Source organism: Homo sapiens, chromosome 6 (assembly GCF_000001405.40).
Source record: "Homo sapiens chromosome 6, GRCh38.p14 Primary Assembly".
Taxonomy (NCBI): domain Eukaryota; kingdom Metazoa; phylum Chordata; class Mammalia; order Primates; family Hominidae; genus Homo; species Homo sapiens.
In genome coordinates, this window is record NC_000006.12 from 138,536,711 (window position 1) to 138,554,729 (window position 18,019).

Sequence of the window (18,019 nt, forward strand, 5' to 3'; positions counted from 1 at the left end):
CCTATCTACCCGTCATCTAGGTTTTAAGCCCTGCATGCATTAGGGATTTGTCCTAATGCTCTCCCTCCTCTTTCCCCCAACTCCAGACATATGTCATCTTCTGAGTATGCTACTTGTTTTAAACTTCCATCGTAATTTACTGACTGACAATTCAGGTGGACAGCTCTTACACTCCCTGGCCTCTTCTCTCTAAGATGAAAAATAGGCTGCCAATTACTGACAGAAGAAGAAATACAACGAGAAGAGAAATAACCCAATAATTAAGGGGAGCTCATTCCCAATTCCTCAGTACAGCAGTCAACCTAAAATAAGGACATTTCCACCTATATAAGGATAAAACCATCCACCCATAGATTTCTCTCTTCCTGATGTGGAAAGAGTTTGTAAAAATAAAACAATTTTATGAAAGGCACCATCTTGAGCAGTTCAAATCTTGTTTTAAATTTTTATCAAGTATTTGTTCTGCCAGGAAACATTTCCAAAAAGGAAAGGTTTTGTCTCAATTGCTGTGGCAGCAAACACTTCCGTTGGAGCTGTTAGAGCGGTATCAGGATACTCTCACTGGCTTACATAGCTTTCAAAATATTTGTGTTGCTACCACGCTCCTTTGCCAATATATGTGACTTGTAATACTTTTTTATTCATCTGGATGTATTTATACAACTGTGTAGGTCCAGAAAACTTTTTAAAAGTTGGCGTAAATATGCTGTGATGAAAACTGAGAAATACATCTGCCTTTCTCACTATGTAGAAATACTACATTTGCAAATTAGGGTACAAATCAGTCTTCACTTTCAAAGACCAAATTAAGCCCTTAGAGAGGTCAAATTTAAATAACATCACTATATATTACAGAGAAAATACCAGCATCTTATGTAAGCTTTACTTAATCCTCAATATTTTATTAGGCAGATCCATTCTCAGAGCTAAGGAGATCTTTACTCAAGGGATAAGATGATATGATTAACGGATAGAGTTGGGATTTCTTGAATATTCTTTACAAACCTGTGTTAATTATTTTTGTTATTTGGGTCATGATTAGCAGGGAAACCCTTTACAAAGTCTCTGGCTTTGCTTTGTTCCCAAAGTCAATCTTGGAGAAAGAACCGCCAAAAGCTGGCACAAGCAGTAGCACCTTTACAGTGGGCAGGAAAACAACCAGAAGTCTTGGGGCTGCAGAGATCCAGGCCGGCGAGAAGTCCAGAGCATCAGACAGGAAGAGTTTCCTGGGGGTAGGAACAGTGACTGGCACATGGTAAGTGCTCATCAACACGCAATGAAATAACACACCCCAAATTCTATCAAAATATTTTGGTCAGAGTTGATGAACTTCAGAGGTATTTCAAAATGTCGACAAATCTTGGATACCCTTTGACATATAAATTAGCCACCTTGGGACAATATTGATCTCTTTTGCATAAAATACTGGGTATTCTGTTACAGCAAAACTTTTCCAGGAAAAAAGAAGGGACTTGAGCTTCCTTTGTCCTCTTAAAATTAGGAAAGGGTCTAGATAAAGCAAAAGTGCAAATCTGTAGGAGATGGCTAAGGAAGGAGAGATAGAGTACCACCACTGGGGGCTAGGTGTGTTCATATACTTCATTTTCTTTTGCCATGCCATCCCACATAGCTAACACCAAGGCATTTTCTGAGGCCCCTTTCTCATTTGCTCTGTTTGGAATTAGAAAAGTTGCTACTCTCAGTGTCTGGTATAACCCAGTTTCCCCACGTGATCTTCTACCAAGTCAAGCATCCTCTGGGCATCTGCCAGGCTCGTCAGCCAGGCTCCTGTGGTCCTTTGCCTTCCCTTTCCTAAGAGACCACACATTAAGTCACTGTTCATCCTCCCCTGAACCTGCTCCCAATGTTCGCGCCCTCGAGAGAGCAGAGGCGTCTGTCCCAACTTTTATTCTGAAAGTTCCAGCAACAATGAACCTTGCACAGTTCACTCAGTGAAACAAAATAATGAAGAACATAGATGGCCTCTTGTGGTCAGCAAAGCCGAGATTTTCTCTTTTGCTCTCAAATGCTGTCTTGCAAAATTTCACAAGTACAAACATATGTTATCATCTGACCTTTTGAAAACTATTCTGTGTATATATAAATTCACTTAAAGTGTACTACAACTTGTGGCTCCTAAAGCTCACTTTATGCTATTTATATCTTTTTGTTATAAGAAGACATTCCAAAGAAAAAGTGGTGATGAGCACTCACATTTCTGTTATCATGCACCCCCTCCCCCAAGTTAAACCCACAGTCAAGTCACTCAGGCCTTTTGTTTCAATGGATCTCAGGGTTAACCACATTTTGACAGTAACAACAACAAAAAAAGTTCTAAATGTAATCTAAGTTAACAAAGACTGATAAATGTCACATAATCACCAGATAGAAGATGAACACTGCTGACATTAAATCAAATAGTTTGTCATTCTGTTGGCTGTCAAATTAGGATCTCTTAATTTTAAATGCAATTGCTACATACGATTTTATAAAATAATTAATGTTCCTAATTTAAGACTACCCATCTTCCACCCCGCATCCCCAATACCATATCCTGCCAAACTGTTTAATCATGCAAAATCTATTAATTGCTTAAAGACCCTCAGGTTGTTTTCAGCAGTATTTTCTTCTGATGTTTAACACAGAAAAATACATACCCCTGCATACATCTGTACCTGGTTAATGGTGGTGACATGATGTCCTGCCTTTATCACACGGGTCCATCTGCCTTGCCTATTAACTATCACCTTTTCTAATGCATGTGTAGACTACTGATCACATCCTTGTAACTAGAAGGAGTTCAATATGGCTTAGGTGTAATACTGCTCCCCCAATGAGCCATCACAGAGGAGGACAGCTAAGGTGAGGTAGGGGGCCTAAAAAAGACAAACATGAAAATCAGCAAATAAAGGAAACCAGAATAGGTAGAAATGGAACAGGAGATATTAAAATGAAGAGTTTAACTGAAATCTTAGCTAATGCTTTCAGTAATTCAAGTCATTTGATTCAGTTCCACAAAATTACCCAGAGCATGAATCCTTGCACAGAGCATGCTCCAGAAACAAGCAGACCCCAAGTTCTCCTCGTTTTAGGCGGCAAAACTCTGTTAACTGCTCTTTCAGTCCATAGGGTAGCATCTCAATTTATAGTATTACACAACCTATTTAGCATGGTAATCTGGCTTCTACTGCAACAGATTTAAGAAACAGATTTTGACTACTCATGGAAGGAAAAAAAGAGAACTAAAAAGCATGATAACGTTTTCAAGGGAAAGACAAAAGAAATAAAGGGCTAGCCAGCTTTGTTTCATTTATTAAATTCCAAGGGCTTTCCCCACCAGTTTGAAAAATGCATGTTATTACCACTGTGTTTATTAAAAGTGCTACTTTAAATTGCAGATTGAGCAAGTGGGAATTCCCTTTGGTAGCTGTAGATTACCCACTAACAATTATATGCAATTTTAAATGAAAGGAGGAGGAAAGAACCAGGAAGAATTGTAGAACAATGGTTCTAAAAGCCACTGATAATTTATATAAAACCAGACATCTAAATGTATGATAGTAAAATGTCCAGAGTCACACAGATGCAATATTCCCAGGGTTGCTTTGCATTTTGATTTTTAAAAGTCTTTCAAAATGGTGCTCAGAATCAACTAGCATAAACTTTGCTCACTGATTATCTGATAGCTTATTACCAGATTTAAGAAGGGGCTAGGGACCTTCCAGAGCAAATGGTTGCTTACTAGCTCACTTGAAAAATGCACTTGTTTCAGCACAGAAATAACAAATCTGTTTCTGATTCCTAACATTATTTTCCAAATGCTGCCAAGAAAAGAATCTAAGGAATTCTTTTACATACACAACATACAAAAGACAACTGGAAAGAGGCCTGTGATCTGTTCCAGGGTGCACGATGACGAAGGATAGAGTTAGTTTCTAATATGAACTGCCCTTGTGGGAGCAGAGGCACATGCCTGAGATTGTTCATAGCTGTAATCTCCAACATAACTCTTTGCTATTATTAGACAACTTAAAGGCCTTCCTAAATCAGTAACTTGTGAAGCAGAAGAGTATAGGACCCTATCGTTCGGGGCATGCAGGCAGCTGGGACACACCCAATTCCACAGAATTCACCACTTTTCTGCTCCATGAAACTAGATTTCTACCTCTTGGAAGACACATAAAGGCTGAGGAAGGGAAAGAACCTGTCTAACACAAACCAGGTTAAAAGTCCCTAGAGAGAATGCGAAACCAGGTAAAATCCATTAGTAAATTCAGGAACTTGAGGTCTGTGATGCTTATAAAATATAGTGAAATTATTCCTGGGGCACAGAAGGATATATGTATGCATCCTGTCCATATTAAAAGCAACATCAGGCCAGGCGTGGTGGCTCACGCCTGTGATCCCAACACTTTGGGAGGCTGAGGCGGCGAATTACTTGAGGTCAGGAGGTCGAGATCAGCCTGGCCAACATGGTGAAACCTCATCTCTAATAAAAATACAAAAATTAGCCGGACAAGGTGGTGTATGCCTGTAGTCCCAGCTACTCCGGAGGCTCAGGCAAGAGAATCACTTGAACCCAGGAGGCGGAGGTTGCAGTGAGCCAAGATCGCACTACTGCACTCCAGCCTGGGCAACAGAGCGAGACTCTGTCTCAAAAAAAATAAGAATAAAAGCAACATCATTTAAAAAATATTACCTCGTTTTTAAAACTCAACAGCAGAGAGTCTGCTTTAAAATTTTCAACATTGTGTAACAATCACACCAATGATTTCAAAAGTACATATTTTAGCATGGTTTACTTCTGTTATACTAATAAGGGGGACTTAGCAACAGAGTCCCCTTTGAAGAGAAGGAGGATAAGCAGGAGAATGTTGAAAGACTGAGTCATCCAACAGACTGAGCTATCTAATGCAACTGTTTAAATTTTTGGCTCACACTGAGTTGACTGCAGTGAACTAAGTTCAATTTTGTTTTTTGTTTTTCCCCTTCTCAGCGGGATAAAAGTTCATGAAAGAAGCCGAATCGATTAAAGGAAATAAAAAGGCAACATTTTCCTTTGCATGACTGATCATAATGGGTATGTACATTTTCAACTCTTCTACCTACACATACAAACTCATCTTAAATTTGCATTGCCATAGTTTCAAAGGCATCCTCAAAGCAGCTATGTTGGATATCATTCTTACAGTTTTCCATTAAACACACTTCCCATGCAGCTGCCCTCAGGCTATGTGATTTTACATGCGGTCCACTGAATTGGGTTGAATAGCGTCCTCCCAAAATCATGTCCGCTCACAACCCTGGAATATGACCTTATTTGGAAATATGGTCTTTGCAGATGTAATTAGTTAAGGTGAAGTGATATACTGGATTAAGGGTGGACCCTAAGTCCAATAAGTGGTGTCCTTTTAAGAAAAACATCTGACACAGAGACACAGAGAAACACACAGGAAGGAAGGCGGTAGGAAGAGGGGCAGAAACTCAAGTGATGCTACCGAAAGCCAAGAAATGCCTGGAGCCATCAGGAAGTGGAAGAGGCAAGGAAGAGTCTTTCCTGGAGCCTTCAGAGGGAGCACGGCCCTGCCAACTCCTTGATTTCAGACTTCTAGCCTCTAGAACTGTGAGAGAATACATTTCTGGATAAGCCACTCACTAAGCAGTAATTTGTTATGACAGCTCTGGGAAACTAATGCAGATTTGTCTACTAACCAGTGCCAGTAGGACAATACTTCACTACCAGTCCACAATTAGATTAGTACAGGAAATGAGATTAAATGTTTAAGAACTTTTATAGCTGTTTGACAATGTGGTGATATCACACAAGCACATGATTTTGTGTTTTACAAAACATCAGTCTGTAATGGTTTGGAAATTTCTTTTAAAAAGTCTTCACCGAAGTTAGAGAAGCACTGCAAAGATAATTAGTATTTATAAAGTTAAAGCTGATGTACCATAATTAAGAAATCTACATTCAGAACTATTTCAGAGAAGTGTAATTATGTTCCACGTAGCTTTAGTAGTAAAAACATTTTATTCTAATTTTTATTTATTCTTTAAACATTTTTTTCGAGACAGGGTCTCACTCTATTGCCCAGGCTAGAGTGCAGGGGCACAATCATGACTCACTGTAGCCTCGAACTCCTAGCCTCAAGCAATCCTCCTGCCTCAGCCTCCCAAGTAGCTGGGACTACAGTTCCATATCACCACATCTGGCTAACTTTTTAATTTTTTGTGGAGACAAGGTCTCCCTATGTTAGCCAGGCTGGTCCCGAACTCAGGGCCTCAAGTGATCCTCTCTCCGCGGCCTTCTAAAGCATTCGGATTATAGGCTTGAGACATGGCACCTGGCCTATTCTACGTCTTAGAATAATCTGTGAATGGTACACATGGTAGTTTGCTATTAATCATATTATTCGCTATTAATCATATTATTTGATTAGCCATAATTCACTTCCCAGACCATAATGGATCACTTGCTACACAGTGAAGGAACGTACCATGCCTTTGTTAGCCACAGAGACCTTAGCTGAACTTCGCAGAACATCTTCACAAAGACTGAGTGCTCAAATGTTGCACATACAAAATGCAGTTGGGAGAAGCTGATGTATCTGAGATACTTCAATAGCAAAGAGTGATTGTAACTATATAAGTTACGATAGTGACAATAATGAGAAAGATGGCATCCTTCTTCAAGGAAGGCCAAATTGACAAAAAGCTGAGCAGACCTGGCTTCAGAAAAGAAACAGTCTAAGTAGAGAAAAGGAAATCCTGCATCAATGTGGGAAGCGATCTGATTTAAATATTTTCTTTCAGCAATTACAAGAAACACACAGGAACATGATTTAAACCAAAGGAAGAGCAATCATGTTTCCTTTAAAATCAATGCTAATCACAACCACATATGCAATAGCCCCTAGGACCTTGGCTAGCCACAGACCAATGAATGAAAGCCACTTTTCCAAAGTAAGAACACAAAGCATCAACAAGTAGCTCTTACTATTCTTCTGCTTAATCTCACTCACCCTTATTTTATCATGGGCTTGCTTCATATGTAGGGCAAAGGACAACTTAAAAATCATTATTGTAAATCAACAAGCTATAAGTCACAGGAAGAAAGTAGAATGTCAACTGTTTGTCCTAGCTGCCGGGAGATCAGAGAGTAGGCTTTAAAAGGGTGCGATTGTGGATTCCTGATTAGAACACACACTTCAGCGTAAAAGCACTTAGTTGTCATCACATGCCATACGTTTGAGTTTTTAAAATTTTCTGAGTTACCACAGAAACTAAGAGTCCAAGAAAATGAGAGATTCTTTAATAAAATGAAATGGCTGTTATGGGAATAGGTGGAGAAAAATATGTTGAAGCTGCAGATGTCCTACCCAGTAACAATTCCACAACCGTATTCAATTAAAAATTGTAAACCTTAAGCTATCATTGGATTGTAATGATTTCAACTGCACTGTGGAAATTACACTAGGTAGCATGTACCTTCATCCAATAATACCACTGACTCTTCATACCTAAACATTTTGTAGAACAATTTTTGGAAGAAACAGTGTCATGAGAGCTCATAATGCCTTTCATCTAAAATTATTTTTCAGAAATACTTAAATTCATGTCAGCCCATGACTCCTTGGAAATCCACTGCAACTAGATACTCTCTGTAGTAAGAATTAATTGAATGCTTGAGGACAGAAAAATGTGATGTTCCTTTTTGTTCTTACCCCTTCAATTTCACCAAATTTGCACCTACTATATAAAGGAATATCCCAAACACCAAGTTCAATATTAAAGACTGGTAGGTTTTAAGATGTCAAAATAAGGTTAAAATTGCAAAGCCTGGGTCTACAGAATCCACGTCTATACCTCATGAACAGACTTTGAGGACAAAGGAGCAATCCACAAAGCAAATAAGCCAGGACCACTTTATTTCCAAAACTTGAAAAGATGTCAAGAATTTCCCATCAACAGAATGACATACACTGAAAGATATGAACAGAACAGTTCCAAGGAAATTCATCTCCCCCTCTACCCCCACCATTTCAACAATCACATAGACAAACACACTCTCACATGCCTACATTAATTACATTGTAATAAGAGTTGGAAGAAAAATAGAGTTGACGGAAAAAATAAATGCCTAAAGAGAGAAAATACTCCTTGACTAATCAGGGAATGACGACATATACTCATATAATCACCATCTTATAGTACTTAGGAAGTATTATAATCCATATGTGGCCAGAACAAGAAGTATGTTCTTTCTTTTCTTTTTTTTTTTTTTTTTTTTTTTTGAGACCGAGTTTCACTCTTGTTGCCCAGGCTGGAGTGCAGTGGCGCGATCTCGGCTCACTGCAACATCCAACTCCTGGGTTCAAGCAATTCTTCTGACTCAGCCTCCCAAGTCGCTGGGATTACAGGCACCCGCCACCACGCCCAGCCTAGAAGTATGTTCTATAGTCAAATTAATTTCACTCCTAAGTTCACAGAGTAAAGCTTAAAGCAATAGAATCCTTTACCCTTTCTACTCCTTCTAACCCTTACATGAACAACTCCTTACATGAAAATTTCTCTACTACTGCTGTAAACTATTCCTATATTTATTGAGTTGATTTTAAAAACCTTCTTTTAAACTTTTAGCTACTTTTGTCTATAACAAAACACACACAAAACACATTCAAACACAGAAATATCCTTTCTGTCTAGAAGAGAATTCCATCTCCCCAGCAGGAGGTCTTTCTTCCTGTTTGCAACAAAAAAGAACAATGACTTTTTCACTTTCATACTTACAAAACTCCCTCAAACTTTGATTTTTACTGGAATCAGCTCTGTGATTTAGACTCTGATGCTAAATGACAATCTTCCCCAAGTAGAACTTTGCCACCCAAATGGACACGAAGTCCCCTCACCTTTCAGACAGAACATTCTGCAGCAGTTCCATGGAGGGGCTGTGCTCTGTGGTCTGATGAAGCCTGCAGTGCTAGGCACAGCTGTCTCCCAGCCCACCTCCTCAGCGCTCACTGCCAGAGAGCGGGGCGGCCAGCCAGCGCCTGTTACTCCAGGAAGCCACTGCCCAATCCCCAGCCTGCTGGGCTGTGCTGCTGACACCTCCCTATCTCTCCTGGGTTATTTCACACCATGGAATCAGCCTGCAATCATCTTGAAAGGGGAAAGGAGCCAGGGGTTAGCAGTCACCGTTCATATAGTCCAGTGCAGATCAGCCCAAGGGCGAGCCCATTTGTTTGTGCTTCTCTCTCAGCATTTTCCACCACAGCGGATGCAGCTCTTCACGTGATCAACAACACAAAAAAGAAATCACTCAATTCAGTTTAACCTTTTGCTATTAATTATGACTTACTATTCACTGACTTCATTATTCCTTTTCTGTTCACATGCTCCCCTTTTTTTTCTAATATAGAACACACCATATACTGGTACATAATTAACACTGCACATTATAATAGGAAACTTTGCACTCTGTTGTCTGAGTCTACGTAAATGAGTGAATATATGTGAAATGCTCTTTCAGTCCCAGACAAATCATAAGCACAAAGTAAGTGCTATCATTACTACTACATACTGCTATTTAAAAACGGGGCGGACATGGTGGCTCACACCTATAATCCCAGAACTTTGGGAGACCAAGGTGGGAATATCACTTGAGCCCAGGAGTTTGAGACCAGCCTCGGCAACACAGTGAGACCCCATCTCTACAAAAAAAAAAAAAAAAAAAAAAAAAAAAAAAACTAGCTGGGCATGGTGGCATGCACCTGTGGTCCCAGCTACTTGGGAGGCTGAGGAGGGAGGATTGTTTGAGACCAAGAGGTCGAGACTGCATTGGGCCATGATCACACCACTGCACTCCAGCCCAGGCAACAGAGTGAGACCTTGTCTCAAAACAAAAAACAAACAAACAGAAAACAAGAAAACCACTTGAGTATTAGGATAAAAATGTGAAGCATGTTACACTTCTATGGCAATGTCATTTTTTCAAATGAGGAAACAAATGCAGCATTAGAGTACGAGAATTTCTAACTGTACTGTGGCTGTGATCAGATCAGTACATTTCTTCCCCTCCACTGGAAAGCTAAATTCACTCTGGCAAGTTCAAGGTTACTTGACTGTGGACTCTCAAACACAGGTGGAAAGTGGCAGAAGGAATCTTATGACAGACCTGATGAGAAACAGTCCACAAATACTGCCTCAGGAGCACCCTGCTTGAAAAGTACCATCTGAACCCTAAGTGGCCCCGTGGTCCTTCCCCACAGAGACGTGAGTCTCCTGGCTCAGGAAGTGGCCATTGTTCACAGGACCCGTTGCTGTTTGCAGGTCTTCCTTTTGACTCCACAGGATGCAGGAAACTGACTCACAGAACCAATCTATCTATCTGTCTGTGTCCTGGGGTGCTCACTGCCACACAGTAAGGATGCTCTATGTTCTTTTGGTTTTCAACATACGGTGCAGCATATCCCAGCTGGGTTTCTGCTCCCTGTCACCATGAATCACCAATAGCACCTGGGTAATAAATATGTTGTCTACCATAAGGAAGTCACTGTACTAGTTTCTATGATCACAAGAATATATAAGAGGTCTCTAGCCAGAAGCTAGTTAGGATTAAAAAAAAAAAAAACTGCATGGGGAATGATGAACAGTGATATTAACGCTTCTTCTTCTTTTTTTTTCCCCTGAGAGGGTCTCACTCTGTTGCCCAGGCTGGAGGGCAGTGGTGTGATCTCAGCTCACTGCAAGCTCCGTCTCCCAGGTTCTCGCCATTCTCCTGCCTCAGCCTTCCGAGTAGCTGGGATTACAGGCGCCCGCCGCCAGGCCCGGCTAATGTTTTTTTGTATTTTTAGCAGAGACAGGGTTTCACTATTTTAGCCAGGATGGTCTCGATCTCCTGACCTTGTGATCCACCCGCCTCGGCCTCCCAAAGTTCTGGGATTACAGGCGTGAGCCACCATCCCCGGCCTGATATTAACTCTTAGAACAGAATGGGAGGGAACCTCATAGCTCATTTCATTTGTGTAAACCATGAGGTGATTGATTCACCTAACAAACAAGATCAAAACCAGACCAGCTGATTAGCCTCTTCCATCTCACCACGGGACTCTCTCCATGGCTGATCTGAGTTATTCTCTGTCCTCTCCTGTTCTGAGTAGTCTCTCCCATGTAATTTACGAATTACAGAGGTATTCCTGAAAATATTTTCATGGGTTACATTTAACTTTTCAAATTGTACAGAGAGAGAAAGGAACTCCTACCTTAGAGACTTAAGACTTTTGAACACAGGCTAATGAGACCGAGTCTCACTCTGGCTGGAGTGCAGTGGCACGATCTTGGCTCACTGCAACCCCCACCTCCTGAGTTCAAGCAATTCGCTGCCTCAGCCTCCCAAGTAGCTGGGACTACAGGTGCCCGCCACCATGCCCGGCTAATTTTTTTTTGTATTTGTAGTACAGACAGGGTTTCACCATCTTGGCCAGGCTGGTCTTGAACTCCTGACCTCGTGATCCACCCACCTCAGCCTCCCAAAATGCTGGGATTACAGGCGTGAGCCACTGCACCTGGCAGTTTAAGCCTTTTTAAACAGAGATGACTTTATATGCTGGAAAGTATAGTGGACTGAAAAGTAAAGAGAATCTCATTCCAGTCATATCTATATGACTATCTAGTTCAAGTCTGTCCAACCTGTGGCCCACATGCAGCCCAGGACAGCTCTGAATGTGACCCAACACAAATTTGTAAACTTTCTGAAACATTATGAGATTGTTTTGCAATTTTTAAGTTCATCAGCTATCATTACGGTTGGTGTATTTTATGTGTGGCCCAAGACAATCCTTCTCCTTCCAATGTGGCCCCAGGGAAGCCAAAAGATTGGATGCCCTAATAGTTAGTCTCACAGCAGTTCATGGCCTGTAAATGTGAGGACTGAATAGAACAAGGGGACTAAATTAACTCTAAGGTTCCATCTTAACTCAATAATTTTTTATTTTTGGTATGAATACACACACATACTATTAGGTACATTATGTCAGGTCACAGGAAAAGAATCTTTGCCTTCTTGTGGTTTAGTGCAAGAGATGAGTGGAATAAATATAATTCAGTGTGGTAAGTCACATAACAGAAGAATACACAAAATTAATAATGATCAATGGTAGTTCTTGCCTACTGCCATCTCATTAAGCTACTCTCCTAAAGTTAAAGCATATATAATTTAATGTAGTGGGTTGAATAGTGTCCACCCCAAATTCATGTCCACCCTCAGAGTGTGAACTTATTTGGAAATAAAGTCTTCATAAGTTAAGGAAGGTAAGAATCAAGATGAGATGATACTGCATTAAGGTGGGCCCTAAATCCACTCACAGTGTCCTAATAAGAGAGAAAATGGAGTCGGGCATGGTGGCTCATGCCTGTAATCCCAGCGCTTTAGGAGGCCAAGGCGGGTGGATCACCTGAGGTCAGGAGTTCGAGACCAGCCTAACCAACATGGAGAAACCCTGTCTCTACTAAAAACACAAAATTAGCCAGGCGTAGTGGCGCATGCCTGTAATCCCAGCTACATGGGAGGCTGAGGCAGGAGAATTGCTTGAACCTGGGAGGCGGAGGTTGCAGTGAGCCAAGATTGCGCCATTGAACTCCAACCTGGGCAACAAGAGCAAACCTCTGTCTCAAAAAAAGAGAGAGAGACAGAAAAGGATACAGAGACACAGTGAAGGTCATAAAAGATGGAGGCACAGACTGGAGGGATGCTGTCACAGATAAGGAACACCTGGAACCAGCAGAAGCTGGAAGAGGCAGGACAGAATTCTCCCATACTGCCTCTGGTGGGAGCAGGACTCTGTTACCACCTTGATTTTAGAACTCGGGTTTCCTAAATAGGGAGAGAATAAACTGGTTATTTTAAGCCACCACGCTTGGGGTAATTTGTTACAGTGACTCTAGGGAACTTATACATTTAGCAAGGTAATAATTACGTGAGATGGGCATGATTTGTTTTTCTTTTAAATCGTCTTCAATTTATGTTTACATAGGCTTAAAACCTATTTTTTCCATACCCTTGTACTTACTGCAGCAAAATGTTATAGCACTTCTAAACAGCACACATACCAACCTCTATTAAATTGCTGAAATTATAGGTATCACTATCTGAAAACTTCACAGCATTAACCTCGAGCAATGACAACAAAAGGGGTTTTTCTTAATGTCAAATATAAAGTTATCATATTAAAAAAAAATCCCTTGTGGGCCGGGCACAGTGGCTCATGCCTATAATCCCAGCACTTTAGGAGGACAAGGCAGGCTGATCACCTGAGGTAAGGAGTTTAAGACCAGCCTGGCCAACATGGCGAAACCCCATCTCTACTAAAAATATAAAATGAGCCAGGTGTGGTGTCGTACACCTGTAATCCCAGCTACTCCGGAAGCTGAGGCAGGAGAATTGCTTGAACCTGGGAGGCGGAGGTTGCAGTGAGCTGGGATCGTGCCACTGTATTCCAGCCTGGGCAACAGAGTGAGACTCTATCTCCAAAAAAAAAATAATAAAATAATTTTAAAAAGCCCTTGTGTTTACAACTGTATGTCTGAGAATAAAACATGAAAAGGCACACTGTTCAAACTAGGAAAAAATAAGAACTATCCATTGAAATTATGATTGTCTGACACCATTGATCATTGCTACTGAGACTGAAAAATAAATACCTAGGAAGCTTTGTGAAAGGGAGTAGGTCCAAGATGATGCACACTCACAGGATTTGTAGTCCTCTGGACAGCACAAAGGTCTGGCCTTTGCCAACCATGACCTTAGGGCGGCAACCACTTCTCTCCCTTGTAGGATTACAACATCCAGCATCATGTTAAAGTTTAACATTATTATCTCTACAAGAGGGAGTGGTATCCACACATGCAGCCAAAAATATTTAGATAATTATGTCTTCAAAACCACTCCAGTGTGATTTCACTTGTGTGCTACCAGTTTAATTTTGATTTCCATAAAATAGTGGGGATGAGAATAAATTAGAAATTAGTTTGCATAATACACAGAATTAGTGCGTCTAGATCAGCTCAAAATTTGACTTCATTCCTGGCAAAACACAAAACAAAATTATACAAGCAAAACAGGCAAACCATATCTCCTCCCTATGTATCCTCTTACTCTTGCCAAAAAGCCCAGATAAAGATGGAAAAATCCTTCTCCATACCCATTCACAAGTCTGTTTCACCTCAGCTGCAAAGTACAGTACAGTAGTCCTCTCTTATCCGAGGTTTTGCTTTCAGTACTTTCAGTTACCCCTGGTCAACTGAGGTCCAAAAATATTAAAACAGAGAGAGATATCAAGACAGAGGGAAAGAGACCACATTTATATTAATTTTATTACAGCATACTGTTATAATTTTTCTATTTTGTTATAGTTATGTTGTTAATCTCTTACTGTGCCTAATTCATAAACTATCATAGGTATGGATGTATAAGAAAAATATAGTATATATAGGGTTTGGTACTATGTGTGGTTTAAGGCATCCACTGGGTGATCTTCGAACGTATCCCCCAAGGATAAGGTGGGGCTACTGTATTCAGACAGGCAATGCTTATTTTCATAGCCATATCTCTAGACATGCTTTTAAAGCATGAGAAGCTTGTGAAGTTGGAGGAGACTGAAGACATATTTCCCATCACAGTGCTTTCCATTTCCCCCTGGATGCAAGAGATTGGAGATGCTGAAACCCTCTGACACTTTTAAGATGACAATGACCAGGTTAAGCCAATTCCCTAGAGAAGAATCCACTCTGGTGGCACCTATGACCATGACTAACACATTTTACCCAAGTTTTAATCATTCTCCACTCCCCTACTATTCTACAATACTTCTAGTTTCACCAGTATTCTGAATCTCTCAGACAAGAGATTTAATCTGGGTTTTTCTATATATTTATTACTACCTCAGGCACAACAGAAAGAAGAAAAAAATTATAGCATTATAACTTTAAACTGGCTAATTTCACTGTCTCCCTGGCTCACCAGGGAAACTGATTTAAAACCAGTCTCCATTTTAGTGCCTTCAGTCCATCCAGCTCTGTAGGCAGGGGAATATGGAACGCGGGTTTTTGCTCTGGACACTGCCTCTCACCAACATCATCCGAGCCTGTATCCTGTTTGAGTTTACTCCACTCCAGAGCCAGGCCTGACCTACTGAGTCCCAAGGGCAACCTTCATCCTCTTTGCATTTTCTTTTAGGAAACAGCTGAATCCTGGGGTATTTTGTGCTGGACTCAAACTAACCATGGAGCAGTAAGGCAACTACACAAATGCTTCATGGAGGCTCTTCAATGGCCTCTGGCCTTGGGTAGACACATTCACATCACTGTATTTCCTCCCTGAATCATGGGAGCTCTGCTCTAATTCGCCATTTAAAAATATACCCTCCTGGGGCCGGGCATGGTGGCTCATGCCTGTAATCCCAGCACTTTGGGAGGCCGAGGCAGGCGGATCACGAGGTCAGGAGATCAAGACAATCCTGGCCAACATGGTGAAACCTCGTCTCTACTCAAAATACAAAAATTAGCTGGGCATAGTGGTGCACGCCTCTAAGTCTCAGCTACTCAAGAGGCTGAGGCAGGGGAATCGCTTGAACCCGGGAGGTGGAGGTTGCAGTGAGCTGAGATCATGCCACTGCACTCCAGCCTGGGGGACAAAGTGAGGCTCCATCCCCCAGGAGATATATAGATATCTATATACACCCTCCTGAGCCAGTTCTTGAGGTTATTTCAACTTTTTTTTCCTTCATAGCCAAGCCTAGGTCTCTTGACATCAGTCAAGAAAGTAGCCCTCATTTGGCTCCTTTTCATGAAATTTGTGCCTTCACTCATGGCACCCTAGCTGGCTCTCCTAACACTCAAAGTGTTAGATTTTTCTCTTTTTTTGTAAGAACCTTTAGGTCCTTCTGGTTTCATCTTCCCAGGGAAGGTAAAGATGAGTTTCCAAGTTGACCTGGGCTCTTGGCTTAGATAACCTTCCAGCCTCTTTCGGTTGCCCTTAGCTGTGGCAAGCTGCCTTGACTTCCACTGCTGTCCACTGAGCTCCAGTCTGTAACTCCACTCATTTCCTCAGAAGCACAGTGACACCTCATGAGCAACAGTGCAGAAAGGAGATTTTATTATGGAACCTTGTGCCATTTATCCAGCCCTGATGTCGCTTCAAAGCATAGTGCCTATGGCTGAGATGTTTCTTTGAGACAGAGTACTCCTTGGTACCTTTGTAGTTGATATTTTTTCTTTCGAAATCTGACCTTTTAATCCACCTTCACACCTATTACATCTTTCCAAAAGAACTCCAATTGCACCATCCTTTCCCTCCAGAGGAAAAAAAAAATCACGTTTCTACTTATGTAAAAAACACAAGATAAGGATAAATCCTAAATTCCTCATGTAGCAAATAAAGGCCTGTCTGGACTTGTACTCAGTATTTTTTTCCAAACTATTCTGGATGTATCCCATTAAGTGACCCCCTTGGTAAGCTCTGCGTCATATTCCATAGGGTCTTGTACCTCTATTGTCTTGAATCAGGCTATTGCCTCCTTTGTCTGGAATGCAGCCCTTACCCCCATACTCTGCTTTTTACTTCTCTAAAGCCTCATCTAACCATGCTCCTCTCCAGTAGCAGGATCAATCTCAAGCTTGCACCATGTCCCATGGCACTTCATTCACGTGGCTGGCATGGTATTACAATTCTGCCCACCCAACGTGAGTGATCCTTAAAGCAGCAACTTGCTCATTCACACTTAACTTCTGGTACTTTTCAGGGTGCTGGAACATGATAGGTGATCCATGTTTGTTGCACAGATATGTAAAGCAGAATTATTATTACTTTGCTATTTCATCCAAAAGCAAATCATTAGTGGAAAGTATATAAAACCTAGATAAGACACATAACCACCAGCATAGATTCCTATGAAAAGTCATATTTTCCTTACAATTAAATAGATGTATTTTCCCTACACATGACGGTATTAAAACTCATTATTAAATGAAAAGTCAGTGATCATTTATAGTTAAACTTTATGGTGAAATCTTTATAAACTATCATTTCCTTAAAGGATTAATAATCTGAAAGAGTCTCATTTACAAACACACAAACACAGATACCATTCTCTCTCCAGGCAACTTCACCACAACAAACTCAGAAAGCAGTTTTTCCTACTCTCATTCTGCCTGAATTAAATATTTGAAGGATGATGGAAGTGAAAAAGGAAGAAAAATATTTTCTGGAAATATCTCTTACAAAAGAATTAACACCAGTATGTCCAGATGGAGGGAGGATACCGAAAGATGTCATAATAATGTCCCCAAATTCCCTTTCTTAGTAAACTTATAAGGAACTGTATTATAGGAGAGAAAAACAAAACCACTGGAGTCTAAATTGTTTTCTCTTTGCCATTGCCACTATGCCTAACATATGTGTATTATATTTCAGAGGGTTTAGGTTAAAGCACATAAAAATAACCTCATAGGAAAGATACAACAGTAGGTCCTTTCACGTTGTGTATTTCTTCAACGTGCTCCCTGATAAACTGACTTGCAATGTATACAGATCAACGGGACCCTCCACCCACCAAAAAAAGTCATTTGTGTCATTTTCTCCTAAGCATCTGAGTAATCTGAGGAAGTAAAAACCATAACCAACCTTCAACTACAGAAACAGGTGCAACTTCTCCACCCACAAAATCAAGAATTATTCAAGTTCATGTACCAATCAACCAGGCGGACCACAGTTCTGCCACAATATATGTGTTAATAAAACATAACCAGAGAGCGTAACTGGACTATAATTACTTTTAATCATCAAACAAAAAGATAAAATTCCAGAAGACATACTAAGATATTAAGAGCAAGGTACGCCAAGGTAAATGTCCAGGCTTCTGGTAACTTCTGCATAGATAATTGAATACATTATTCTAATATTTAATTTCTTTAAGGCCTACTTGTTTAAAATATTGTGTTTTGAAACCAACTAAGTATTTGA

General features: G+C 40.7%; 1 protein-coding gene across 18 annotated transcripts in view, besides 1 other annotated feature; it reads right to left on the minus strand.

Annotated features, from left to right (window-relative positions):
- The window catches only part of NHSL1 (NHS like 1), a 271,170-nt gene that overhangs the window by 114,668 nt on the left and 138,483 nt on the right, over nucleotides 1-18,019 (minus strand). For 3 of the 18 annotated variants that reach the window (XM_047419118.1, XM_017011089.2, XM_011535972.3), the window contains exon 1: nucleotides 8,913-9,025. The exons of the other annotated variants lie outside the window; for them this stretch is intronic. In XM_047419118.1, coding sequence (XP_047275074.1) covers nucleotides 8,913-8,928 — 16 coding nt within the window. In that variant the 5' untranslated portion in view covers nucleotides 8,929-9,025. Of the gene's footprint in view, nucleotides 1-8,912; nucleotides 9,026-18,019 lie in introns of those variants that run through there. 18 annotated transcript variants of the gene reach the window in all.
- Nucleotides 1,267-1,436: an enhancer, noted in NCBI's record as "experimental_90641 CRE fragment used in MPRA reporter constructs". NCBI's record gives its function as "activates a minimal promoter by MPRAs in K562 erythroleukemia cells, with activity observed for the introgressed 6:138859199 variant allele {active_cell/tissue: K562}" and the evidence as "EXISTENCE:reporter gene assay evidence [ECO:0000049][PMID:34662402]".